The sequence below is a fragment of the Homo sapiens genome, chromosome 2, assembly GCF_000001405.40.
Source record: "Homo sapiens chromosome 2, GRCh38.p14 Primary Assembly".
In the NCBI taxonomy this organism is placed as follows: Eukaryota; Metazoa; Chordata; class Mammalia; order Primates; family Hominidae; genus Homo; species Homo sapiens.
The window spans coordinates 217,030,184-217,057,863 of record NC_000002.12 but is presented as its reverse complement, the minus strand read 5'-3'; the positions used below and the strand labels follow the sequence as shown (position 1 = coordinate 217,057,863).

The following is a 27,680-nucleotide window of genomic DNA, read 5'->3' as shown; positions in this document are numbered from 1 at the left end:
AGTCCTGGAGGTCTTAGAGCTGGAAGGAGGTGTAGAGATATGGTGATCAATACTCTTTATTCTTCATGTGAAAGATCTGAAGATTGGAGATATTACTTGATTTCCTTGGGACCAGAGAGGGTACATGTGACAAATGCTGAATTTGAACTCAGATCTCTTCATTTCTAGTTAAGACCATATCCAAGGCGGGGGATCACTTGAGGTCAGGAGTTCGAGACCAGCCTGGCCTATATGGTGAAACCCCGTCTCTACTAAAAATACAAAAATTAGCAGGGTGTAGTGGCGGACATCTGTAATACCAGCTACTAGGGAGGCTGAGGCATGAGAATCGCTTGAACCCGGGAGGCGGAGGCTGCAGTGAGCCAAGATTATGCCAGGGCATTCCAGCCTGGGTGACAGAGTAAGACTCCATCTCAAAAGAAAAGAAAGAAAGAAAAAAGACCATATCCTGCCACAAATATTAATACTTTACTAGAATATTTCATTTTACCTCCCTGCTCTGTCTTCTAGGAACTCTCTACCTTGATTCCCTGTTCTTCAAATGCCTGCATTTTATGAATTCTGACCCTGCCCCCAAAATGTATCTAATTGAACAAGAGTGGACCCCTGAGCCAAGGACAGTCCATCCATCAGTTAGCTGGAGGGAAACCTGTGACCTGACTCAAAGGAATAGGTGGACCAGCCAGAACTTCTGTGTCAGGGTTTATTGTTAAGAGCCACTGAGGGAAGGTGGTGCTGGGCTTCAGAAGTAAGCCAAGCAGACCAGTGAGACATGGGGTAGGGGTCCTCAGGCAAGATGAGTTAGCACAGACACCTGGCAGGAGACAACAGAAAATGAAGCAGAATGAAAAAGAACTAGAACAGTGTGAAAATTGTGGACTCAGTTTCCATTTACTAACATCTAATGAGAGCAATAAGCTCAACACTCCAAGATAATCTACATAATTGCTTAAGTATAAGATTTTAAGATGTTTTTAAAAAACAACTCATTTAATACTGTGTGACATATAAGAGGAAAGAAAAGTTACTTTTGATTAGGGTAACCAGAGAAGGCTTCACAAAGAGGCAATGCATTATCTTAGTAAACTAAGAACCATTTATAATATTGAACCTTACAATATCTTGGAATTCATTATCTCATGAAAACATCCAGACTGAGAAATGACCTTTGGAACATGATCAGTCCCCTAAGTTGGGGGACCTCCTGCACTGCCCTTACTCAGACATCAAGGTAAAGTTCTTTAGGAAAGGTGCACTCTAACAGGTTAATTTAAAACAATATTGTCATCTTGAAATGTGCAGCACAACCAAAAATCACAGCCAAGGCCACCCATTTCTCCCAGTTCAGGGATCATTGATTGGTTCTAGTGTCAACTTAGCCCCTGAAAGATGACAGCAAAAAGAGTTCTGGTGAGAATTGCTTCCATTCAGTGTCTTCAATAGCATTCATAAAAAACCACTGGCCGTCCCTAATCCAGTTACCTGTGTGGCTGTACATTCTGAAACCAGTATTCCAAAGGAACTCTCACAGAGAGTGTACAGGGACCAATCATCCTCCCTTAAACTTACAGATCATTTGAGATCTGAAAATCTCCCTCAGGAGCCACAGTTAAATTGGGGTTTAGAAGGACCTGGATTTCACTTCCTAGATCACAGCCAAAATAAAGTCAGAAAAATCAAGAAAAAATTATAGTCCAACCGTCAGCCACCATATCTCCTGCTCCTTGTTCATTTGCTCTTTTATGTATCCTACAGGTATGGAGCACTTACTATCTGATCAGTCCTATTTGAGAAAAGGAGAACAAGCCTGGGGAAACCAATAGACTATATTAGTGACCTGCACTTAATATAAACACATGTCACTCTTTCAGTTATAAGAGACAAAACTCAACTCTAACATTTAAATGAATAAGGAAATTTACTGGGTCAAGTAATTGAAAAGTTCAGGCATGGCTGGACCCAGGTACACAAATGATATCATCAAGAGTTTACCCTCTACACCTCCCATCACCAAAATTCCAGGGCTAAATGTTCAGTAAACAAATTTGAGTACTTTACTATCCCTAAACCAATTAGTGTAGCCAGTAGCATGAGATGGGCTGATTGGCCAGATCTGGATTATGTGACCTCACTTGATCCTCACAAGCCCTGAGAATGGGAAAGGAATAGTTTCTCAAAGGAAAGTAAAGGTGCTGTTCCATTGCTTGCTGGGAGGCAAGAACAATAGATATCAACTACGAAATAAAACAGAGTGTTTTAGTCATGGCGAGTCCAGGAGCTCTGAACAGGGCCACTTGCCCAGCTGATGTTGGGGTTTCCATCATTTTTATAGGTAAAGAACCCACTGAATCACCCCCTTAGCCTCTCTGCATCATCCTGCTTCATGCCATTGTGACTGGGGACTCCAGGATCTTTCCTGGTCCTGGCCTCAGAGCCTTACTTTTTGAATGAACACACTGGGCTACTCTCTCATATCCCTGGCATCAGATGCTAAAGTAGCCCGCCTGCTTTCACGCCCTTATTCCAACTTCTTTCTGCAAACATGAGCAGTTTTTTCCTTATCCCTCTTGGTACAATTGCATGTTTCCACCCAGAGGAGTGAAGTGGTTTGTTGTTGTTGCCCTTGCTTTTCCCTCTGCCGTTACTTCAACTGCAATTTGATGTCTTCAAGCACTGGGGATGGGAAAGACATATATAATTAGCAAAGTAAATAATGATACAAAAGCCTTATTACTGAGGTTTTCTGGATGACTGTTCAAGTCAGAAAAACAATAGTGCTCAGAGGACGGAAATGAGCCCACACGCTGGAGAGACAAGGAACTGAAATCACGGAGCAGGGCAAAGCCAACTCAAACAGCAGGACCTCATGTCTTGCTTACATGAAAGAGTAAGGCATTCAGATGGGCCAGAAGCCAGGGATGGCATTGCTGGGGACTCTCAGCTCTGTCTCAGAAGCCTCCCTTCCCCCAACACAATCTGTTCAAAAACAAAGCTGGCCTGTGAGCTGTAAGCTGGAGACATGTGCGTTCAGAGACAGCAAAACCTCCTAGGCTGTGCCCCAGTATCAGATCAGTGGCATTAACCCCTAGTGGATCTTGGGAAAGATTTTGAGGACTTGTGTGATGGTGTTCTTGCCTTTGTGAGATTTCTCTGGTTGCTTTGGTGTTTTCGTCATGTCAATTTATTACAGGATCAATTTGCAAGAGGTAAAGTTGAAAAGGGCTGGTCTCATAACTCAACTTTGTAGATAACTAGAGTCAAACTGTCCCCCCAAATCCTCCCCCACCCAGGAAGGACACGAACAAAGCATACCATGAAAACAGTCATCTGCCCACAGACTAGGGACCAAACCTGACTTCAGGAATAGATATTTTAAAGGTCATTATGTTCTTAAAGGTTGTATCTACATGACCCCAACATAGCCAGTTGAATACTGGAAAATTCAGCCAAATCTCCTGACTATTTTATCAGGAAAGTCTAGTTCTAAAGATAGACACAAAGCACTCACTTCAGGAAAATTCCATCTGGGTCAGCAAGGACTTCTTTTGCACTTAGGGGGTGCCTGTACTGTGCTAGTTTCTACAGGCAATACAGAAAATGTCTGTGCTCTGACCCCTACCCTCAAGCTGCTCCTAATTTAGTTGTTTCGATAAAGCACAAATGTTGGGAAGGGTAGGAGTAGTAAGTGCTGCAAATCGGCAGAAATTCCTGAGCCCCTAAATTTAACACAAATCAAGCTCATTGAAGAGACCCTGAAAGGCAAGTTGGGGTTTTTCCTTCTTTTCAACCAAGGAGTCCCTTACACTCTGTTATTAGAGAAGTCACTGTGGACTGAATCCAGCTTTAGGCACTGGGGAAGGAAAAACCCTGACCCTGTACAGGAGGAGTATTCCATTTTTCGGTAGTGGAGGCCAAAGAATGAGTAGGAAAATATAGGCAGGTCAGGAAAAAAGGAAAGAAAATAAATTAGTATGCATAATTAGAAACAAGCATGAGTAAAAGCCGGATGTTGTACATGGGGGTGGAGGAGGGGGCTGTGGGTGGTGAGGAAGAGGTGAGGGGGGATGAGGAAAGGAGATTTGGGAAGATTCCTGGAAAAGTCTAAAGTAAAGCTAAATGTTTGAGTCCTGTGGAGAATGTGGCTTGGCAGAAATGGGAGGCTGGGAGAGTAGCTGTTGAAGAGGCACAGAAGGCCGTGTGGGTCACCCGCGTCCTCACTTCTCTTCTAGGGCCTGTATGGAAGCAGAGGGTTGCTCTGGCCTGTGGTGTCCTTTGTCTCACCCTGCCCTTCACAAAAAGGAAGAACATGGGCTTGGAAGCCAAGCCCCCAATTTCATGCTGATGTCCGGATGGGGGAGGAAATCATGAAACCTAATTGCCTTTCAGAACAGCACTTGTCTGATTTTCCCATGAGGTATCAAAGGGTATGGAGTGCAATTGATCACAGGGTAGCCAGGGTTCAATGTCTGTCCTGGCTCCACTTCCAGCATGACTCTACCCCTGGCAAGTGAGACAGCCTGATCTCAACAAGTAGTTTCAGCCCCATGCCAGACTCAGAGACCAATCTTGGTTTCTGGCAGTGGTCAACTTTTTGTCTACTCTTGCTGTCTTGCTACTGGTCCAGCCTGACTGTGGATCTCTTGTTCCCCAATAATCAGGTTCTTGCCTATTTCTTGACCAAGCCTCTCTTAAGCCCTAGTTTTCTCCTATGTTGTGTTTCAGTCCTCAGTGATTAAGGCCCAGGATTGTTTTTCAGTCTCTCCAGGGAGACTTCCTTGGAGCCCAGTCTCAACAGCAGCTGGGATGCCCTGCCCTTGACCTTGAATGCAGTCTCTGCCAGATTATCCCTGATGCCTTCTTTCTGCCTATTTGGACTTACTGTGTGCCTATCCCTTGAACCTCTGGTAATTAAGGTTTCCTTTCTGCCTGAAATTACTCTCTAGAGCTTGGTATTGGTGTCCGTCTCAGCCAATGGTGCTCCTGTTCTCTTGCTTTTTGGAATAACCTCAGATTCATAAATTAATATATCTGGATGCTGATTCCTGGCCTTATTCCTTATTCATGTCTATTGGGTTTAGCCAATGGAGAATCTGTCTGGCATTCAAACCTTCACTTAGCTTTGCCCATTCCACTGGCTGATGCCTGAGTTATTAATACAACAGAGAAAACACTGTAAGAACATTGTGTTATCCCCTTCTTGGATGCTTGGTCACTATACGACCAAGATCGGGACACCAGGAGAAAAACTTTCATGCCCAATTGACTCAGAATCTATGGTTCCTACTCATGAACATGGCCCTTCTAGTGTCTCCCCAAAAGTCTACCAGAATTTCAGTTCTCAAATTGACTCACTTCTCTCATTTTTTGTGTGTGTGTTGAAATGAGTTGAATTTTTAAAAATTCCTTCATTCCTGTCATTTCTTGGGATTGGACGGTATGACAAGTCCCAAGTCCTTCTGGCTCCTCTAGGTCAGAAAGGAAGTCTAAGAAATATGAAGAAGGAAGGCTCAAGGCATCATCCTAATGGTTGTGTTGCCATGGCAGCACTATGGCTTGTGTAGTCTCTCCCCTTGAGTGTGAGATGGTCTCCTTTAATGACTAGAATACAGCATAGAAGCAGTGACAGGAGGGTCACTCCTGAGATTAGGTTACCAAAACATTGCAGCTTCTGTCTTGCACTGCTTTCCTTTGCTTGTTTGCTCTAATGGAAACCAGATCCCATGTTCGGGGCTGCCCTATGGAGAGGCCCTATGGCAAAGAATGGAAGGAGAGCTCCGGTCAAACAATCAGTGAAGAACTGAGGCCCTCAGTCCAATATAGGGTGAGGAACCGAATCCTGCCAATAACCACATGAATGAATTTGGAGTGGATCCTTCAGATGAGACTGCAGCACCAACTGATATTTCCTTTACAGCCCCATGAGAGTACCAGCTAAGAGGCACTTGAATTCCTGACCTACAGATGTGTGCTATAATAAATGTTTGTTACTTTAAACAGATATGTTTTGGGGGTGATTTGTTATACAGCAATAGGTATCTAACACACACCTCACAGAACTGGAGACAAAGAACACAGCAAAATTTGGCAGCAAACAATTTAGGTAACTTTCACCCACCCTAATATTTCAGTTCTCCATTCAGCTAGACTTAGAGGAAGACACATTTATTTCATCAACATGTACCAAGTGTGGGCCCTCTCTGTGCCCAACTATGTGACCGATGTTATGGAAGATCCAAAAGAAATGAGTTCCCTCAGGGAATTGGGGAAAAGCCAAGAAATAAACAGGAATCTCAGCACCACCATTGTCACTAATTTCCCCGTTCCAAAAATTCCAGAAAAATCCCTCTACATTCCATAAAAAACAATATAAAAGAAAGGCAGAAAAGAAGTTTTGCTTAGGGTGGGCTGTTATGGGGCAGCCCAAATTCCATTAAAGACAAAGGCCAAACATCGGCAGGAAGGATCCTGTCTGCAAGCATTAAAACATGTTTGTTAACTGTATTTGTTAGTTTTTTAATTGATCACCAACCTATAAAATCAGAATATTTCAAATAAATATCAACTTTTTGCCTTTTCTTGACATATCAGAAGGCATGACCACACTAGGCCCCTACTCCTACTTTGGAACCATTGCCTATCACACAGTAGACCCTTTCCTTCCCTCTCACTCAGACACGGGCTATTCATTCTGCCACAGTTCCAGCTTTGCTAATTTAAGCTGGCTGGCATATTTCAGTTTGCAAAAGTTGTTTTAAGCCTCTCTCTGATCCTTTTAGAACTACAAGATTCTTCACCTCTTCAGTGGTTGTTTTCGCCCCCCACCCCCGAAAAAGATGGCCCTGATTATCCACCTCTAAAAGCCCTGCAGGTGAAATCCAAAGAGTCAGAGCGTAGTAGGTACTTAAGCTATATTCCCTTACTTTTCCACCAGAGACAACACATATTTTTTCAGGCTTTGTGAACCTTTTGCAAATAACAAATGCTTTGTTCTATTTTGGGAATCCTGGTGAAGTCCCAGACCTTCCCTCTAAGTCCCAGGCATTGTGCTCAGCTAGGCATATAATAGTGAACCAAAGAACTTGAACCCAGCTCTTACAGTCACCTGACAAACTCAAGAAGATGAATACTCTTTGAGCAAATGCAGTGAACCAGTCAGTATAAGTTTCCTAGTCCCTTCCAGGCACAGGAGTCTATCATGTACTCCCCTCAAGACACCCCTTTTCCTTTTATTTCTTCTCTCTTTCTGCCCTTGCCTTTTATTGTATAGGTCCCACATTAGGGGTATTGGCCCTTTCATGAAGCACAACACCCTGGCTTCTGGATGAATCTAGGGCCCACCTGAGCATTGGGAGGGCAGCAGGGGTAGAGAGTGAACTGATAAACAGTTTGTCTCATCTCTGCTTCTTTGAAGAGGTTCCTCACAACCTGTCCCAGAGAAATTTACTGCCCAAGCTCCCAGAGGTCATGCAAGAAGAAAGAGGGAAAAAGAGGCATTTAGCTTCTTTAAAAAGAAAGACAATGTCTGGATGAACAGGGCCCCCTGGTCTCCAAGGATAATTCATGCTGTCCTCATGCACATTTGGCTCGCTCATGGTCTGGCTCTGGTCTCGAAGGATGGCTCTAGACCAATGGACAACAGAGGAAGCAGAGGCTGCAGCCTGGGAGGACCCTGGCCAGGGATGCAGCCATGACCTCAGACCCTTCAGCTGCACCTGAGTACACATTTCTAGGGGAAATGTGCTCTCCATGGAGGAACGGCAGCTCTGGCCCATGGAGTCCCTGTGAGATCACCCCAGCTGGTCTAAATTAGTGTGTGTGACTCTCTGTCTTAAAGCCTAGAACACAGAATTTCCTTTTTTTTTTTTTTTAATTCTCAATCCCATACTCTGACCTTCTGTTAAAACAACTTTTAAAATATAATTTTCTCTTCTGCTTACATAAAATGTTTCTGTACTAAATTTGCTGAGCAGCCAACACATTCATAAAAGCACAGAGGCAAGCTAAACTCAATTCCTAAGCCAGCTTCACACCTGAGCATAAACAAGGCATCCGGGTCTCAAAACAGAACTGCTTTCCTAACAAAGAAATCGCTTCCCTCTGTGAGGGAGAATGTGCCCAGTCTGATCTCCCACTCCCCTCTCCTTTGTCCCACTCCTTCCCCCTTTCTTCTTTCTCTTACATTTCAGCTTCCAATGAACTCAGATCCCAAAGCCCAAATAAGGGGAGGAGATTTCGTGTCTTCTCAGCTAAATAATCCCAGTTCCCCCAAGCACACAATGTTCACACATCGTGTTTGCACATAGGGTTTGCTGCCTGCTGGGCTGAACTCTCTCTCCCCGCCCCTAGCCTCAAACCCTACAAGCGAAAGGCTGGAGGTAAAAGAAAAGTCTGCAGCATAGTCAGCTCACAGAGCGAGACAGACTGATTGCAAAAGGAGAGCAAACAGGAGACCTAACCATCTTTACTTCTTTTTGTTTTTTTTCTTAAATTTCTTTACTCTTAAAACCTCTTTACTTTTAAAAGACCTTTGGGTATTTTGCTTCATCAAACTCTGGTGTGAAAAAAAGCACACACATGTATACAACTATGTAGCCTTCTGCTCATGAGCTCGCGTTTACTGTGCCGTGTCTTCTAATGATTAAGGGAAAATGAGAACTTACCAAGAGAAAATGCTCACACAGCTTTACTTCTAAGACAAATCCCTCAATATCAGTCAGTGTCCAACCAAGAAGAATGAAAATCACATATGAGTTTCTAAAACAGAAGGATTTCAGTATAGCGAGTTGGTAACCCAGGGGATGGAGGAGCTGAGAGGCCTGACAGGGGACAGCAAGGCAGAGCAGAGGGAGGCAGCAGCAGGACCCAGCTGCATGGAGGAGGAGGAGCTGGAGTCAGGTGAACCAGGGGCCAGCAACACCAGACAGAAGCTGGAGCCACAGCACACCTGTCTAGTGGGGTCTGGAATCCAAGAAGAGAGGCAGCTGCTACTGGAGAAACCTCCCAGGCTGGGAAGGCAAAGGAGAAATAACATGACTTCTCTTGTCCTCTCTCCCTCCCTCCCATCTCCATCCAGTGCCTCCCACAGGCTAAACCCTACTGGAAGCCAGAGCATCCAGGAAGCTAATAAATGCAACCTGAAAATGGGCAGCCCCTGAGGCACACAGCAGAGCCGCAGAGCACGAGATGCTGCTGAAGACAGGAAGGCTTAGGACCCATCCATGCTCCTCTCACCCTGTCTCCACTGCCACCGTCCTCATCCCACCAAACAGAATGCAAATTCTAAAGGCGCTGGAGGCTAGGACTGCAAGAAAAGACACCATGGGGTACAGCTCAAGTTCATATCCAAATTCAGCTCTACCTAGCTCTGATACTGGACACCTTTTCCCCTATTACTAGGGGAAAATGTGGTCCTTTTCCCCTAATTACTAGGGGAAAAGGCAGTAACTCTGTCCAGTATGTATGTCCAACACCAGGACATGGGAAAGGCAGTGAATCCCACGCAGAGTGTGGGTTGTTACTGGAGACTCTCATAGTGAACATTAAACTGAAGCTGGGCTGGAAGTGTGTTCTTACCTTGAGGCACAGGGTGCTAAGTCCCACACGGTACCAAGAGCAATGGCTAACCACAAAAGAGCACACAAAATCAGAGAACAGATCACAGAAGATCTTCCTAGATAGTCCCTGAAGTTTCCTTTTAAGCTTTTTCAGCAACCAGGCCTTGCTAAACATGTATCCTTCACGCGCAATCCTGACCCCACAAAGCTGACACAAAGACTATAGAGACAGCAGGCTCAGAGGACTGCACTGTTCAGGAAGTCTCATGAAAGAGCTTGAATTTGCTCTTAAATAATGCACTCAGGATGGCATTCAACAAATCACAACTAAATCCTCCTTTTGGCAAAATGTTCCCATCTTAATTATAACTCTATTATTGCTTGTATGACTGAACATGTCTTCCTTTGCCCTTAAGAAGTGGGAGGGGGAGCACATGAAGGAGAAGCAAAAATATAAACAGAGGGATGGAAAATTACCCCTGCAAAGTATAATGGCTAAACAATGACTAAGGGGGCTGTGATATGCATCAACACAGACCCACAAGTGTAAACAGTGTGGTGGGAAGGGAGATGACTTGGATGAACTAGACAGAGGGGGAATTTAGGTGGAAAAAGAGTTTCCTCTCCCTAGATGGGGGTTGCGGTGGGTGGGAGGGGAAGGGCACCAGTGGGAGGATGGCAGAGGGGGCCAGATCCTTTTACCTGGTTCTGGGAGGCCCTGACTGGGCAGGGTATGGATAAGGGCACTGCTCAAACAGCCCAAGTGCCTTACGATTCACTGAATGAGGAAGAGAGTGAAGGGTCAGGCAGGATCTGGGACTGCCTTAGCTCATGACTGTGTTCCACCTCTTGCCTGTTGTGTCCCCTGAAGTCAATGATTTACTCCCTTAGAACCTCAGATTCCTTATCTATAAAATGAGATAATTTACACAGCAAATATTTGTTGAACAGCTACTACGTGCCAGGCACTCTTCTTGGTACTGAGAAAACAGCAGGGGAAAATATCATCCTTGCTCTCAAGGAGTTTATATTCCGATGGGAGGGGGAAGATAAAGCACACATTAAGAAATCCATGTACACTATAATTGTGAGCAGGGCTATAAAGACAAATAGAGCAGGTAAGAGGGAGTGTGATAACGTAGAGGTGTGAGCTACTTTATACTGAGCGGTCAGGAAAGAATAACTAAAAATGTGACACCTGAACAGAGATGGGGAAAGTAAAGGGAAGAGGTTCATGAAGGTAGGCATAGGGAGGCATTCCAGACAGAGGGAACGGCAAGTGCAAACCCCCCAATGCTTCAGAAGCAGGTTTTATGGGCATAATATAAAGAATTAGCACAGTTCCTGGCACACAGTAAGTACACAATGTGAGCTATTATTTTAAATCATAAGTGAAGTATCCATAAAGCATTTTTGCTTCAGGCAGAGCAGCAAGAAGCATGAGATAAGCAACTCCCCTCAACTTTGTCTTCATGTTCTTCTCCTACCCTGTGCCACAGCCTTCTGCTTATGAAGACAGACAATGGGCCGGGTGCGGTGGCTCACGCATGGGATTGCAAAGTGCTGTAATCCCAGCACTTTGGGAGGCCGAAGCAGGTGGATCACCTGAGGTCGGGAGTTCGAGACCAGCCTGGCCAACATGGTGAAACCCTGTCTCTACTAAAAATAGAAAAATTAGCCAGGTGTGGTGGCAGGGGCCTGTAATCCCAGCTACCTGGGAGGCTGAGACAGGAGAATCCTTGAACCTGGGAGGTGGAGGTTGCAGTGAGCTGAGATCGCACCACTGCGCTCCAGCCTGGGTGAGAGAGTGAGACTCTGCCTAAATAAATAAATAAATAAATAAGACAATGCTCTTAGCTTTCAGTTATCTACAAAATAAGAAGAGGCATAACCCAAACCAACAAATAACCTAAAATGCCATCCACATTTTTAGCAGATTACTTTGTACAAAATATTTACTTGTCTAGTTATGTTTTATTTACTCTAGTATCACCAGGAGGACACGTGGTACAGAAGCTGGCATCAGATGCCGTGCAGTCAACTCCTGGGTATGTGATATGAGACAAGTTCCTTAGTCTCTCTGAGCTCCCAGGGTTGTTAGGAGGATCAAATGAAATCATGAAGGTGGAGCCCTCTGTGAACCATAAAACTGCATTTGATTATTGTTGCATGCTGAAAGTTGAGTGAATCCTCTGCGTTCACAACCACAGTTAAGGTGGGACATGGCCCACCCACATTTTGGATGACTGCGAGACACAAGCCTGAGACCAACACCAGCCCCAAGGAAGTCACAAAGCCAATCAGAGTCACAAAGGACTCTTCTGTTTTTCATACTCCCTGGGATAAGAGTTGATGGCATTTGTTTAGATTGGCATTGAAAAGGAATCATTCTGTTGTGAATCCAAGTTGCTTAGAAGAGAGTTGGTAACCCTGCCAAGAATCTGACGAGAACAGACACACACTTGGGGGGAAGAAGGGAGGAAGATGTTTCTCTCCGTTTTCTTCAGAGGTATGGACTACAGCATGAAAGCCCTAGGCATGGCGTGGCTTCATGGGATTCAGCCCAGAGCTAAGACTAGCAAGGTTTCCAGTGCTGCAAATCAGATTCTTAACGTAGAGATTCACAGAGACCAATATGTGCCTTTCAGGCACTAAGCTGTAGAGTTGAAAGAAATGAAAAGGTCTCCACAAGTGAATCCTTCTAAGTGCTGGGCTTAAAAAGACCAAATAGAAGTTATAGAAAGTATCATTGTGGCTTCACCCTTTAAGGACGGTAACAACTCAGCAACATTCCAGGCTATTACTGGACTTAGGGTATTGGGGCCAGATACAGCACTGCCCCTGAAATTCAATTTAGTAGTAATTACTGGCAGATCAATTCTGTAATAATTAGTGGAAGAAAAGGAAGATAGAGAAAGATATAGAGGACTCACTTAAAATTCCTGAGACCCTGCCTGTTTATTTCAAAATAGAAAACATGTGATTGGGTTCAGATGGGTCAGGTTGGATGGGGTTGGCCTCCCACATACTTGTTCATTGTCAGAAATTCAAAGAGTGGCTCATGGGTATCTGACAAAGTTGCAAGCGAGCTCTCCACCCAAGCTTGATATCATGCTAGTAGGGTTGGGAGAGGACATGGTGGAGTGGAGAAGGTACATTCAAGCCTTGCAAGAATAGTGCTTTCAGGAATTCTGAAGTCTCACCAGTGCTTCTGAAGATGCATGTTCTCACGTTAAATGCCAGGTCCCATAACTCTCGGGCAAGTACCTATCCCTCATTTCATTGATCAGACAGAAGGGGACTTATGTTACAAAGCTCAAACTCTAATCTAACTTGAAGCAAGCACTGGTCAGCCATTCAGGAGATGAGAGGGAGTATGTGATGCCAGTGAACATGCCACCACATTCGCAAAGACCAGGTACAATCGAGGCTAGTCGTACTCGCCAGGCCATGAGCAATTGGCCAGACTGTGCCTGCCATGAATATTCCATTTGCAGGAAATTAATATCATCTGAATCTTTCTCACTACCTAACATTCCCAGTATCCTGGAACCATACCTGGGAGCCAACAGATGTGCGAATGGCAACTTTAATTTACCTGTGAGGTTGTGGATTATTTACTTACTGAGAAGATATAAGAAAGAGAAGCAAGATGATTAAGGAGAAATAAAGGAGAGAAAGAGGAAGGGGGAGAAAAAGGGATAGGATGAAAGAGGCCAGGGAATGATGAAGAGGCTGTATGGTGTTGCCTAAAAAATGTTAGCTTACAGATCTGAACTGGGTTCAAATTCTATTTTAGTCACTAAATACTTTTTATTGATTCCCACAGTCAAATAAGCCGACAGCCTGGGAAGGGTTGGTACTTTCTCTACCTCTGTCATTGTCTATTCATCTCTTTCCTGTTCTATCTCAAGTCTAAGAGGGACCCGAACATCCATACTGAACCAGACACCAAAGAATTCAGACACTTCCTGGACCTTTGTGCTAAGAACTTTGGAATCCTGAAGACAAGGAGCTTTTGACTTTTATATAAATGGTTAGAATGTGATATCAGAAGGTTCAATGAGAGTCTTGTAGAATACTTCATCATACTGAAAAAAAGGATCAAGAGAAAATGTGTTTGTCAACCTGAGACATGTGCCCCCTGGAGGTCAGTCCCTCCACCTGCCTACATTTGGTGGTCAGCTGGGGAGTCTTAGGGTATTAACACTAAATAGAGGAATGCGACCAGCCGGGGTGGCTCACGCCTGTAATCCCAGCACTTTGGGAGGCCAAGGTGAGTGGATCACTTGAGGTCAGGAGTTCTAGACCAGCCTGACCTACGTAGTGAAACCCCATCTCTACTAAAAATACAAAAATTAGCCGAGCATGGTGGCATGCACCTGTAATCCCAGCTACTCAGGAGGCTGAGGTGGGAGAATCTCTTGAACCTAGGAGGCAGAGGTTGCAGTGAGCCGAGATCGCTCCACTGCAGTCCAGCCTGAGCAAGAGCGAGGCTCCATCTCAAAAAATAAAAACAGAAAAATGGAGGAATGCTCCCAGAAGCTTGGGACAGAGACTTGGAATTTTGAGTTCTATGGAAAGCCCTTTATTGGCAATCAGTATTTTAAAATGTGCTTAACAAGTAGATAGAAAAAAATTGTCTAAAAATGCCTCTACTATACCAGACCTGTTTGCTTTGAGAACTGTGTCTGCAGTTATTATTTTAGGGGGAAAAAGTATAACCTTGGAAAAGGATGACTGACTTATTCAAAGTACCCTGGTCTGTGGGCCTTATCTTTAGAATTTCAAGGGCTTCCTTCTGTGATTATGTCCTCATATTTGCATTATTCAGTGCGCATCACTGAGAACCCCATGGCATCCGGCCCAGAGCAAAGGTGCCATCCTGAGAGACACATGGGAAAGGGCTGGATCCTTATGTATCTAAGGCAGACATGCAGATAGTATAGAATATTTGGGAGCAATAGATTATAGAAAGAAAAGTGTGGGTCGAATTAATATTGGAGTGTCTCATAACTTAAATGTATACAAGAGTCAGTGCTCATTGTTTATAAGTAAATTGAATTAAGCTTGTTTTACATTCAAAATCGTTTGGTTTTTAAATAATCCATCACCTTGGAAACTAAAAAATAAGCATAGACAAATGTCATATAATTTGAGATTCTACTCCAGTCTATGGATTTCAGAAACAAAACAAAACAAACTTGGGTTGGAATTCCTGTTTCACCACTTCTTTATCATATGACTTTGGATGGAGAATCAAACTCCTCATCTGAAAAACCAGGCTAAGAAGCCATTTTTTACAGGTTTGTCATAAAAATGAAAACCTTCTGTCCAGGTACATGCTACCAAGTAGGCATGCAGTAAGTGGGAGGTATAACTATTATTGCTGTGATTCAGGTAAGCAAATAGATAATTGTCTCACAAACAAACCAGGGAGTTCACAGATCTGTTAATATGAGCACACTCCCCTGGTTGAATTAGCCCCCATGAAGTCAGCTCCACCTTATAGCACATAGTGGAGTGGTTAAGGGCACAGCTTCATGGCAAATGCCCAGATTACAATGCTAGCCACCCTACTTGCAGCAGAAACTGGATGAATTCCTTAATCTCACTGTGCCTCAGTTTTCTCTTCTTTAAAATGGGGTAATAAGAGTATTATACTTTAGTGTAAAGATTAAATGGGATAATCCATGTAAAATGTGTTTGGAACAAATGCCTGACACATAGTGAAGCACTGAATGGAGGTTAGCTAGCTATCAGCACATGGTCTATTGTTTTAGAATAGGGCTAAAGGAATGGAGCTGCTGTTTTACACAAAGCCACTACAGTCTGTTTCATCTAATTTTTTTCCCTGGAGGCAAGTGAATTATGGGTATAATAGATTAAGTTGGAGAAACTACTTGTGTCTTATGATTTGTTAGGAAAACTCTGTTGATACAGTGAGAAAAGCTTGATACTGATCACACTGGAGATTTGAGGCCAGATCATCCAGTGCTATAAACTAATTCCTTGATGTAATATTAAGTTTCTTAATCTGTAAAAGGTGGGTAATAACATTTACTTTTAAGAGTGTGTTAGTCTGTTTTCACACTGCTATAAAGAACTAGCTGAGACTGGGTAATGTATAAGGAAGGGGTTTAATTGACACTGTTCTGCATGGCTGGGGAGGCCTCAGGAAACTTATAATCATGGCAGAAGGTGAAGGGGAAGCAAGGCACGTCTTACATGGTGGCAGGAGAGAAAGAGGGAGACAGAGCAAAGGGGGAAGTGCCACAGACTTTCAAACAACCAGATCTCGTGAGTACTCACTCACTATCACAAGAACAGTCCCCCCCCCATGATTCAATCACCTCCTACCAGGCCCCTCCCCTGACACATGGAGATTACAATTAGAGATGAGATTTGGGTGGGGACACAGCATCAAACCATATCAAAGAGCAACCCTCTTTGAAAACCCCACAAAATGATAGAAGAACTACATAAAGGTTTTGTCACCAAGTTGGTACACAATTGAATTGGTTTTATTGGAAACACATGGGCAATTGGGAGTAGTGGAATTCTAGGAAGAAGATAGCCAGGTTGAAATGCTAATGAATGGTAAGAACACCTACCCATTTCATTCTACCCACAGGAGGTATTTTCTAGGGGAGAGAGGTTGTGGGCTACGCATATTTTTGTACTCACTGGCAAAGTTCTGTAAAATAACCAGGTGTTTCTAGCACAATTTCTTTATAGTCCCTACTAAATATGGTACATATTGCTATTGATTAAAAACACACAGAGAAGGCTGGTGTGGTGGCTAACACCTGTAATCCCAGCACTTTGGGAGGCAGAGGTGCGCAGATCACAAGGTCAAGAAATCGAGACCATCCTGGCCAACATGGTGAAACCCCGTCTCTACTAAAAATACAAAAATTAGCTGGGTGTGATGGCATATGCCTGTAGTCCTGGCTACTTGGGAAGCTGAGGCAGGAGAATCACTTGAACCTGGGAGGCAGAGGTTGCAGTGAGCCGAGATCGCACCACTGCATTCCAGTCTGGGTGACAGAGTGAGACTCCATCACAAAAAAAAAAAAAAAAAAAACAAAAAAAACACGGAGCACTCTCAACATCCCTCCCACAGGGAGATCCACTAGTGTGGTGAAGGAAGATTGAAGGAAGATTCGATTCAACAAGGAAATCCTTGGTTTCTGTAGCTTCCATTTGCCTTCTTTCTGTTCTGGTTTAGCTGTTCTTCATGTAGCTATTCACTGCAACAAAACAGGGAGCTAGACATGCTCCTCATTCCCATTTTGAAGAGGAGGGCACCAAAGCTCAGAGCACTTAAGAAATGAACCTGAAACCTCAAAGCTAGCAATCATGAGAGCTGGGATTTGAGCCTATACCTTCGGATGCCAGGTTCCTTTCTGTAACCATAGTAGCCTCAGGTGCTCCAGCCCAGCCTGGGAATACAGATGGCAGACCTGGTCCCAAAAACCTGCACAGGCGGCTATGTCAGAAAAGGTGTGGGTGTGGGCTGGAGTTTTCTCTTCTGTGACTTTTTGTTCATTCCCAAATTTATTCCAAGAGGAGCTGGGATAACAACATTGGGGGCTGCCTGGTTTTGTCTGAATTCTGTAAGTTGTGGTTTTACTTAAAGCATCATTCTTTTTACAAAAGAAAAATTTAAAAGGCAGTTCTAGAGGGACTTAGCACCCTTTGTTGATGTTTTCTTGGATGCTTATAATGAGCTCATAAATGCTAAAGAAGAAGGCTCTGTGGCTCCCCAGCAGTGCTGAGTCAAACCAGCCACGTTAGAGGACAGAATTACACCAGGGTTTGGAATAGTCGTACCCATCCAGCACTGCGGGGCTGGTCATCTGCTCAGGAGGAGTGCTGCCTGCTTTGTCAGCCCTCATGCTTGCCAGCTCGCACCCTTGCCACAGCCGTCTCTTTGACCTAGATTATTTCCCCTGGGACGATGGTTTCAAAGGCCTCGCTTCAAAGTCAGCCTATGAGTTTTCAGCTCTCCATAGGCTTGGTCAGTAGGTATGTGCTGAGTACCCATTCATGTGCCCAGAACTTAGTTAGGAGCTGTGAGAAGTGATTCACCATACGCTGCCTCCTGTCTCATCATCTTGTATCCTCCACAACGTGGCCCTAAAGCATCTGCATCAATGCAATCCCAACACATAAGCAGAGACTCAGCAGAGAGTCTAAGAAAGGGGTTACAAGGCAGAATAGAATTAAGGGAAAATGATGTCTCCTGCTCTGACCATATCTAACATATAGTGCCATCACCACTCTAAAGGGACAGGGAGGAGGGAGCAACTACAAACACCCTGGCTGTAAGACAGGGTTGCTGTCAGGGGTCTTCAGTAGAGAAGCAGCAACTGTACCTGCAGCCCAGCATGGGGACACTATTCCATGACTTCATCCTCCTCCTCCAACCCTGAACAGGAGCCAGCAGTCAAGGGAGCCCATCAGTGCAGCCCAGAGGCAGCCTGTGGAGCACAGAGCTAGGTAGAGAGGAGGTGCAGTTCTAGTCTGAGGGGGGCCAAAGGAGATGATCCAGCAAAGCAGCTCTCCAGCCTCCTCTCCTAAGGCTTAGCTGAAGGAACCTGAAGATTCAGGTGGGCAGGACAAACTGCTCCTGCAACCAGCTATTTCCGCTGCCTGGTGCTTCCTCAGACATATCTATTCACAGATCTACATGTTACTCATTTCCCAAACTCTACAATAAAGGCCCAGTTCTCCTTGAAATGTTCTCCAATTTGGCCTTGGATTGCAGGCATCTTTTGCATTTCTCTAGGGCCGCTATTCATTTCTGTAGATAGTTGAAGAAAAGAACCATGTCCTGCACTTGATGTGTTTTACACAGAGCAGAGCTTTCTCCAATGTATATGAGAAGGGTGGGTCAGGGCTGGATGGGTGGAGGGGTAGAAGTCATCTCTTGCCCTTGAGGCCCTCAGACTATCTATCCATGCAGTTAATGGATTAGGAAGTAGATAATTCTAATTAGGACCAAGATGGACCCATGACAAGTTTATGGCCAAATTTTATCTCCCATCCTCTGCCTGGTAGCTTAAGGGATGAAGGGAATATGGAAGTTGGAAATATGGAAGTTGATCTCAGTTTTTGCAGGTCTGGAAAAACACACTTTGCACACTGACTAGCATAATTTTTTCACTTTGTGGAGTATGTAAACATACCCATGTATTTGCCCTAGAACATTGTTTAAAAATCACTAAAAGTCTTGGTCTACTGCATTTATCTCTCTACAGCCATTGCAGCAGTTATTCAAAGAGGCAGAAGGCATGGGAAGGGAAAGAAATAAATTGTAGATAAAAGCACCTTGCATGGTGCTGGCCCCACAGTATGTTCTATAGAAAAAAAAAAAATGTTGTTTACATTTAATCCTCACAGTCCTGTCCTGTCATGTAATGTTCCCAACTTGAAGAAATTGAGACTCAAGAGAGGTGACTTCTCAAGGTCACTGGTTACCCAGCGAAGGCAAAATGAATGAAGCGTTTGATATCTGATGTGCATGGCACATGTTGAGGATCAGTTTTGGCTCTTCCAGAGATGAGGGCTCTGTTTTCCAAATCTGCAGCTGGATCTTCTATGCTTCCTTATGGTCACTATGCTAGGCCCTGGGCTCAAGAGAGGAGAGCCTCCTCTGCTCCTACAGGAGGGGGAAACCAGCCCTGCTGAGGCCAAGAGGAACACACGGAGGCAATCTAGGGTTTCCAGGGTCTGTGCTGTCACCGGCATTAGGGTCTCTTTACCACTGAGGTGTCCTGAGCTTCTGGAATCCAGGGCTCCTGGAAATGCCCTGACCTGCTTGGGGAACACAGCACCTGGCTTTTGAAGCTGTGTGTACTGGAAAGACCTAGAGATTGTATGTGGCCTTCTGAGAAATCCTCACATTTTCATTACTTTCCTCTACAGCATCCTTGCTTCTGGCAAAGCCTCTCTTGCATAATGGAGTCTGGCAAAGTGAGACTGGATAGACAAAGAAGATACCAAAATAAAAGGTGGAAGAATAAAATAGTCCACATATATTTAACATACTGATAAGCAAATCTAGGCAAAGCATTATACAAGTCTTTGCTTGTAAGGACCTGCTCCCTCTGCCCACTCTCCCACTTCCTGCCACGGAACTTTGACTTGGAAATGGCTTATCCACATAAAACGAGTTTGGCTTGGTCTATTCAGAGTGAAGGTTGAGGCCAAAAATTTTCACAGGAGTGAAGGAGTTAAAGTAATGTACACCATCTGGCCAGAATGAGTTAATTAGATTCTTTGTCTAAAAAGAAAAAAAAAAAAAAACAAAAAAACACAGTGAAGAAGATAAAGGAGAAAGTGGGTGGACACATTTCCAGAAAGAGAGAAATGTGTGTGTGTGAGATGGTGTCTGAAATGTGTGCCTCTCGTTGGGATGAGTGTGTGTGTGTCATGTGTGTGTACATGCATTCACATGCACATGTGTGCACACATGCATTTGTGCACACTGGCAGAGGAGTTGCTAGGGGAGAGCAGTAGGAAGAGCTGACAAACTGAAGCACAAAACTGCTAACACCAAGGAAAGGGGCATCTTCTAAACCCCCTCCTGGCCCACTTCCACTTAACTTTCTTCTAAGTCGTCTTCATTTCTGTCTTAGGTTTCCATAAACACTGCAGTTATTTATTTTATTTTTGTTTGAAATGTTAAACAAGCCCCAAAAGGAAAAGCTGTCGGGGCAACTTGTGGCGTCTCCAGAGAGGAGTTGCACTGCAAGCATTTTCTGCAAGGGCTTGGCAAGGCTGCCTCTTGCCTGCATGCTTGGCCCTGGGTTTTGCAGAAGCCCCATGCACCCCTGCCCTGGCTTCAGGGCACTGAGGCTCCCTGATCTGATCCATTTCTGTTTCCAGGGTTCAGCTCATCTCCCATCCCCCTCCATGGAGAACTTCTCTTCTGGAAGGATCTCTTGGCTGAGAGAATGATGGCTGACACTAATAACAACAGCAATGCCAAGAATAATGGCTAACATTAACGAGCACTTACTGGCAATAGGTCCTGTTGAAAATGAAGGTGAGGCACGTGTAGTAACACATTTCACTCTCAGCACAGGCCTGTGGGGGAGATGCTATTATTATTTCTATTTTACAAGTGAGAAGCCTGAGGAATGAAAAATTTAAAAATTTGAATTTAAGAGACAAGGCCAGCCATGCTGGGCCTAGGATAACATGAGTGAGATGTCTTGGGCACAAAATGTAAGGGGTTAACCAAAAACTCAGTAGTCAAGATAAATACCATTTTAATGCCATATTTTAAAAAAAAAAAAATTGGCCGGGTGTGGTGGCTCACACCTGTAATCCCAGCACTTTGGGAGGCTGAGGCAGGTGGATCATCTGAGGTCGGGAGTTTGAGAACAGGCTGACCAACATGGAGAAACCCCATCTCTACTAAAAATACAAAATTAGCCGGATGTGGTGGCACATGCCTGTAATCCCAGCTACTCAGGAGGCTGAGGCAGGAGAATGGCTTGAACCTGGGAGGCGGAGGTTGCAGTGAGCCGAGATCACGCCATTGCACTCCAGCCTGGGAAACAAGAGTAAAACTCTGTCTCTCAATAAATAAATAAATAAATAAATAAATAAATAGTAAAAATGCAAAAAACCCACGAGGAACAAAATATCAAAACTTCAAACGAAGACAGGACCAGTCAGTCAGTCTGGCTGTAACCCTTCACCATCACACCATGCTGCCTTGTTCAGCATTTGTCTAGGATCTAAGATGTGCCAAGTGGAGGCCCTGCCTTTGTACAAGTTCTCTCTTTTATTCTTGTAGCCTTGTGTGATAGGTGTTGTACTCCTTATTGAAGGGATGGGAAAACTAAGGATTAGTTTATGTCTGTGTCTGCCTTCAACGAATTACAAACCCAAATAGGATTCCAAGCAGGACTTGATGTCAAGTTGTCTCTGAGTCCAATGCTCTTCCCCACTGTCCCTGTCCACGGTGTCCCCAGCTAGAAAAGGAATCTACCAGCTAAGAGGCATACAGCTGTACTCTGAGTGTGGTGCAGAGACAGCAGGGGAGGTTACAATTCCAGGCAGGCCGGTTCCCGACAAGCATTCTTCCACTGCCTCAGCCAAACCCTCCCCTGAGACATCTCATGTCTCAGCCAAGCCAGTCCTCCTTGGCCTGCCCCCACCCTTCCTGCACAGAGTCAGTGCAAATGCACAATAGACCCTCTCCCGTTTCAAGTTCATCACCAGATTGCCCAGGGCTGCCTTGCTGTCCAAGCCTCTCCTTCCTGCCCATTCCTGACTCAGCAACACATAAGAGACAGGCATGCATGTGCACAAGTGCACACACAACCTCCACCCCTACTCCCTGCCCCAGCTCCTCCAAGGAAGGAGCCTGCAGTGGGAGTGGAAGAAAATGAGGAGGGAGGTGGAAGACCTTGGAGCAAGAATCCAGGTCCTGAAGAAAAGAAATGGAACCGCTGCTGTTGCCATCCCAGACTTGACGTCATTGGAACAATCATAGTGTGGCACAAATACTTACTTGAATGTGCTCTCTCTGTTTCCAATGAGCATCATTTTGGGAGATTCTGCAGGGGATCCTAAAGAGCTCAAGGAGGCAGAGTCAGCCAGAAGTCATCTCATCCCATCCTCTGTCTCTAGGAAGCTTGGCTGTCCAGGCTCAGACACAATGGCCTCTCTCTGGCTCCTTAGACCCAATGGTCATGTGTCTCATCTTTCTCCTAGAGATACCCCTCAACTTTTAACTGCCCCATCCCACCCTCATCCATCCTCCAGGGTGAGAGAAAGAACAGGGCTTCGGAGTCAGGCAGCAGTAGGTTCAAATCCAGACTTTCCTCCCTATTCCCTGGGTAGCCTAGGGCAAGTTGCTTGCTCTCTTACCTTCATTTTCAATGTGTAGAATATGATAATGAAGGACCTGGTATGGTCCTCAGCACACAGAGAGATGTTTCACCTCTTCCCTGGCTTCTTTAAGACCTTTTCAACATGGTCTCATCTTGCTTGCCTGTGGAGTGATAGATGCCCCTTCTGGAAACTTTTAGTGACTGTCTTTAGGATTTAGCCTTCACAGCAACTTCCTGGGTCTTCCTACCTCCCATCCCCACCTTTCAGGATCCAACATCGCTTGTCATCAATGCAAGGACAAAGCTAAGTGTAGAGCTGTTTTTAGACTCTTCCCTCCACGTCACTCCGCCTTTGCTTCCCAACTAACTTCTCCTGATGACGGGTAAGGGGTGGAATGGTGGTATCCACTTTTATACTCCCAAAGAAAAGGAAGTCCAAAGTCATAAAGTAAGAAATAGGTTTCAAAGACTCAAGGGAGAGGGTCATATGGCACATGCACTCCACCCACACCACACCCAAGTTATTGAATGCAATGAGGGATGAAGAACTTATGGAGGGCCACATGAGGGTGGGAAGGCATCCCACAAACAGCACCCCTTTTCCCACCAGAATTCTGAACCAATGGGGAAATAAGCAGAAAAGCATAAGGCAGATGGAGAACTCAATATCACTGGAGAACTCAATATCACCTCTGTCATTGTTAAAGCTGGTGAATGTGGCTTAATTATGGGGCAAGTGGGCTTTCTAAATTTGAATCCCAGCACTGTACAGAATTATCTTCCCAGTGACAGGCCTCACTGGAGAAGGACAAGCTCTCTTACAGGGCAAACCCTTCCCCTGAGAACTCGAGACCTACAGGAGCAGGGGAGAGTGTATGTGCTCCAGAGATGGGCTCGCTCCAAGAGAAAGAGGACTGAGAAGCGACTGGGTAACATTTTCCCTTCCGAATCTATCAGATGAAGTCACTCCTCCTCCCCTGATGAAGAGAGCCCAGGGGCGTTATCCTAGTGGAAGGAAATATTAAGAATGAGGAAGACTCACTCAACATCCCCTACTACCACACCACAATTCTATTTCCTTCAATCAGCTAGCAACAATCAAAACAAAAAAGATTTATATTAGGTTATCTAATAAATTAGAGAATAGTAGAGACTAAATATTTTTGTGAATAATAAATGGAATAATGGCACTTTGCACATAGTAAGCCCGTAATAAATGCTAATTATAATAATTAGTATAGCAACTAAATGCTATACTAGGTGCCATGGGATAGGAGAGACTTATTTCATCACGTGTATTCAGAACCTTTACTGGGTACTGGGGTTAAAACCAGTACACATAAATTTAACTTGAGGCTGAGTAAGAGGAGTACCAAAACAGAAGATTCTAGTGGAGGGACAAACAGCATTGATGGAGGTGATAAGGAAAGTTCCTATGGCCAAGATAGCATGAGCTAGGCCTTGAAAGATATTTTCAGGTAAAGACAAGGGATCAAGGAGAGCAGTCCAGTTTGAAGGAGATGCTATATTCTCCAAGGGATTAATGAGAGGCAAAGTTTTCAATTTTTATCCACATCCCAAAAGTCTCTTTGGGTTTGGTGTCCATCCTTACCTATAGGACAAGTAGCAAATGAGATGAGTTTGCCAAACCCTTTGTTGTAGGGAATGGGGTGTCAACGCCCTTCCAAGCCACTTGGCCTCACATCAGTGTTCTTCCTCCTATGTGGGACGCTGTTCAGAGCTGAGAGTTACTCTCTGTCTACTTCTAGCACCCCCTGCTCCCACCCATCCCTTAGGGCACAACCCTGTCTCCTAATTGGTCTATTAGGCAGTTTCCCCCCAGCTTATGTTTTCTTTTGCTCCTCACTAGCCCAGCCCCTCTGGGCTGCAACAACATTCTAGCCCCTTCCCCAGAGCCCACGGCATACCACCAGCTGGCACTCTCCTATCAGGCCACCTCTGGGAACCAGCGATGCAGAGCAAGCTCATGTCAGCGCTTCCACCTCTCCCCCCAAGCGGTCCCTCCGGCCCCATAACCACATGCCATGCCTTCTTTTGACTTTCTTCCCAGCTGTCAGCACATTCCTAGTCTTAAGCTAACCCAGGCCACACTCTCCTGGAGACACATGAGAGCACCACCCTAGCCTAGATGCATGAATTTTCTCCTGGTGCCACAGAAATTGTGGCAACAGAATTGCAGAAGGTTAGAAGCCTGTCAGAGACACCAGAACAAAGCCCTGAGTTACCTGCAGGAGCAAAGAGTATGCAGTCCCTTCTGGGCTCCAGGGCCCCATGGGAGGCTTCTAAGTTGAGCATCCTCATGTTCAAATTAGTTGAAGATTGGCTTCTTAAACCGAATTCCTTTTTTAATTTAGTTGTAGTCTGGCAGAAATTTCAGCAGTCACCTCTGACTCCTCCTTAAACCCAGTTACCAACACTCTCATCTGAGTTCCTTTTGTCAGGTGTAAAATGGAACCAGGCTCAGTTCATCAGCATTTTTCCAATATTGGGGGAGAGCTAGAAACAACCCTGACTTTGCATTTGTTCCAGGACAGGCAGGTGAATACCAAACGCCATTTGAATGAGAAAACACTACATGGTTGCTAGTTGTGTGAAGACCGCTTCTGCTCAGGGGCAATGGTTCTCTGTTCAGAGAGAACCTGACCAAAAACATTCGGAATTCAGTCCTTAGAAATAAGCAATTCTCTATAGTCTTTTAGTGGAAACATCTTTTGCTGGGTACACCCATAAGACATGACAATATTTCCCCTCAGAAGCAGAAGTAAATGTCCGTGTTCAGCTGGACACAGGCTCAGCTTGGCTGCAGTGTCCTTCCTTCCCAGGCACCACCAAGCTCAGACCTTCTCCCTTTGGAATAGCCTCTTCCATTTGCCTCTTCCTTTCTTCCATGTCAACACTCTGAAGCCAGATTTGTTCTCTTGGCTTTAAGTCACTGCTAAATAATTCTAATTGCTCTGTACATCCTACCCAAAAGCAGACTCTTTAGCTGTGCCCAAGGGTCCCCACCTCCCCCTCCAACCGTAGGTGCCTCAGCTCCCTTCCATGGGCTCCAAGACACAATCAATTCTGTGACTCACTATTGCCCAAATTCTACCTTCTGGCACCCTGCCTTTCTTTTTGTAGAACCATCTCATTCTTCACCCCCTCTTCCCCCTATTATCTACCTATTGACTAATACCATCCCATCAGATCTGGCTCACGGCAAGGGAAATTTGTGATATGCTGACCCAGCAACCCTTTAAGGATTTCACTTCTTCCTCCCTCCATTCACATGGGCAGGCCCCTGTCCCAGAATGGCCAGTTCAAGTATTCCATGTCCAAGGAGGAGGAGTTGGTTCCCATTTGGTGCTGAAAGCCTTGCAGTAGCAACCAGGGTCTTCTCGAAGGTTTGATGAATGGGTGCTGGAGAGGAGGAGGTCTGCTGGGTGAGGATGTGGCATCTGAAGAGAGTTGGTCTGTCCCTCCACTCCAGGCTCTGTGCTGTGGTTGGTTTCATTACCAGACAGCGTCCTGATAGCATCACAACTCTGGATATATCTGTATCTGAACCCAGCTCTGTCTTTTAGCTCATGAGTTGTAAGAAGCAATAATCAATTTCCTGTTTGCTTTCAATAAATAATTTCTTTGTGTTTTAAATAAATAATTCCCCTTCTGCTTAAGTTCAATTTGGGTTTCTGCTACTAAGAAAGTTAAAAGAGCCCTGACTTTGACTTTTACATTTTGTTATGAGTACAAAGACATATATATATATTCTGCCTTATGTTGTTTACTGCAGTGTAAGCATTATTCCTAGGTAGTATCTGTAAGCTGCTAGAGGGCAGTTTACATTATGAACATCTGTATCCTCTATGGTACCTGGCACTTAATATGGCTTCAAACATATCGTTTGCTTGGCAAAATGAATGAATCCCATTGACCACCCACATTCATCCATAAACCTTGGAAACATAGGCAAATACATGTTATGTTGCCAAGGAAACTTCTCAATGTGTAAAAATAAAATAAAGTGGCAATATCTTTGTTTCCAGAATTTATGAATATCCTGTAGAAATCTAAGTGTGAAAACATGACTTGGGGCTGGTTAGATAATACTTGCATGGATTCAGCCTTTCCAGCATCTTTCCAGACAGTCTGAGCTGAGTTTCCTGAAGGATGTTGCCATGTGTTCTAGCAATGACCAGGCTTCCCTGGACCTGGGAACCCCAGTACCTGCTGAAAGAGGCTTTAGAAATGAGACGGCAAAGTTCAGACCTCTTGAGGACCAGCTGCAGGAGGATCCCTAAAAAATAGGCTGGAGTCAAAATACCCATGCCAGACAAAGTCTGGCCAGACCCTCCAGGCACAGAGAGCCTGCCTGCCATGTTTCTCCATATGGAGGGCAAAGTCAGACTAATATTCCTTCTCATTCTAGGAGAAGATGATCTAATTATCAAAGGGGTGGTTAAGGAGTGCTTTCATTTAATTAGTAGTTGTATCTTTTGAAATTTCCTGTTTCTTCTTCCCATGTTTAGGATGGGTTGTCCCACTCTTCCAGATAGCGGCTTCTTTGGTACTGGAACTACTGGACCAGCCACGCCTGCATTTGCTTCTGACATTCTTGCCCCACCAGCCCCTGCCCCCACCTACCCCAAACCACTGTTCTTCACTGTTCTTTGGAAAGAACCCAGTGGCCCAGTGAGTAGCTGTTTCCAGTCGGCTGGCCAAATGGAAACTGGGTCAGAGCCCCATCCCACTGTGCCTCTTTTGTGCCCACTGAGGACGATGTGTAGACAACACTCCAATTGCATTTATTTTCTTTGCACATGCTTTGCAGGGCAGCCCCTGATTCCCTCCAGTTAACAGAGCCCCCCACCTTCATTCATTGTGTGCTCATAGGAGATTAGGACATCGATGCCACACCTAACCAAATCTGTCCTGTTGCTTCACGCAGGGGAAAGACGTCCCCTGTTGGGAGTAGACATCATTGGTTTGTAGGTGGGGGCCACATCTTTCTCCCTGAGGTCAGCCTTTTTCCTGTGAGAACGTCCCATCTGCCCCTCAGTAAGGCTTACAATCTGGAAATGCGAAAAAATGTGACTTGAGCTACTAGAGGCTCTACAAGGTGTGTGCACCTGTGCATCCCTCAATGCTTGTGCACACACATGTGTGCACAAAGATGCGCACGTGCCAGCCCTTATTTGACTGTGCCTTGTGTAGAAATACGGGAGAAGACACGAAGTGGAAGAAAAGGATAGGACAATCAATCCAG

At 44.9% G+C, this 27,680-nt stretch overlaps 1 long non-coding RNA gene across 1 annotated transcript, besides 1 other annotated feature; it reads right to left on the bottom strand.

The window, feature by feature from the left end:
* Nucleotides 2,875-2,924: an enhancer, noted in NCBI's record as "active region_17102". NCBI's record gives its function as "activates an Ori minimal core promoter by ATAC-STARR-seq in GM12878 lymphoblastoid cells {active_cell/tissue: GM12878}" and the evidence as "EXISTENCE:reporter gene assay evidence [ECO:0000049][PMID:35858748]".
* Nucleotides 15,941-27,015, bottom strand: LOC105373874 (uncharacterized). Its single transcript, XR_923878.3, has 3 exons — nt 22,449-27,015; nt 20,584-20,651; nt 15,941-19,541 (listed from the first exon to the last, which is right to left on the bottom strand). It is a non-coding gene; the product is annotated as an uncharacterized LOC105373874 (long non-coding RNA).
* Nucleotides 27,016-27,680: the final 665 nt, after the last annotated feature.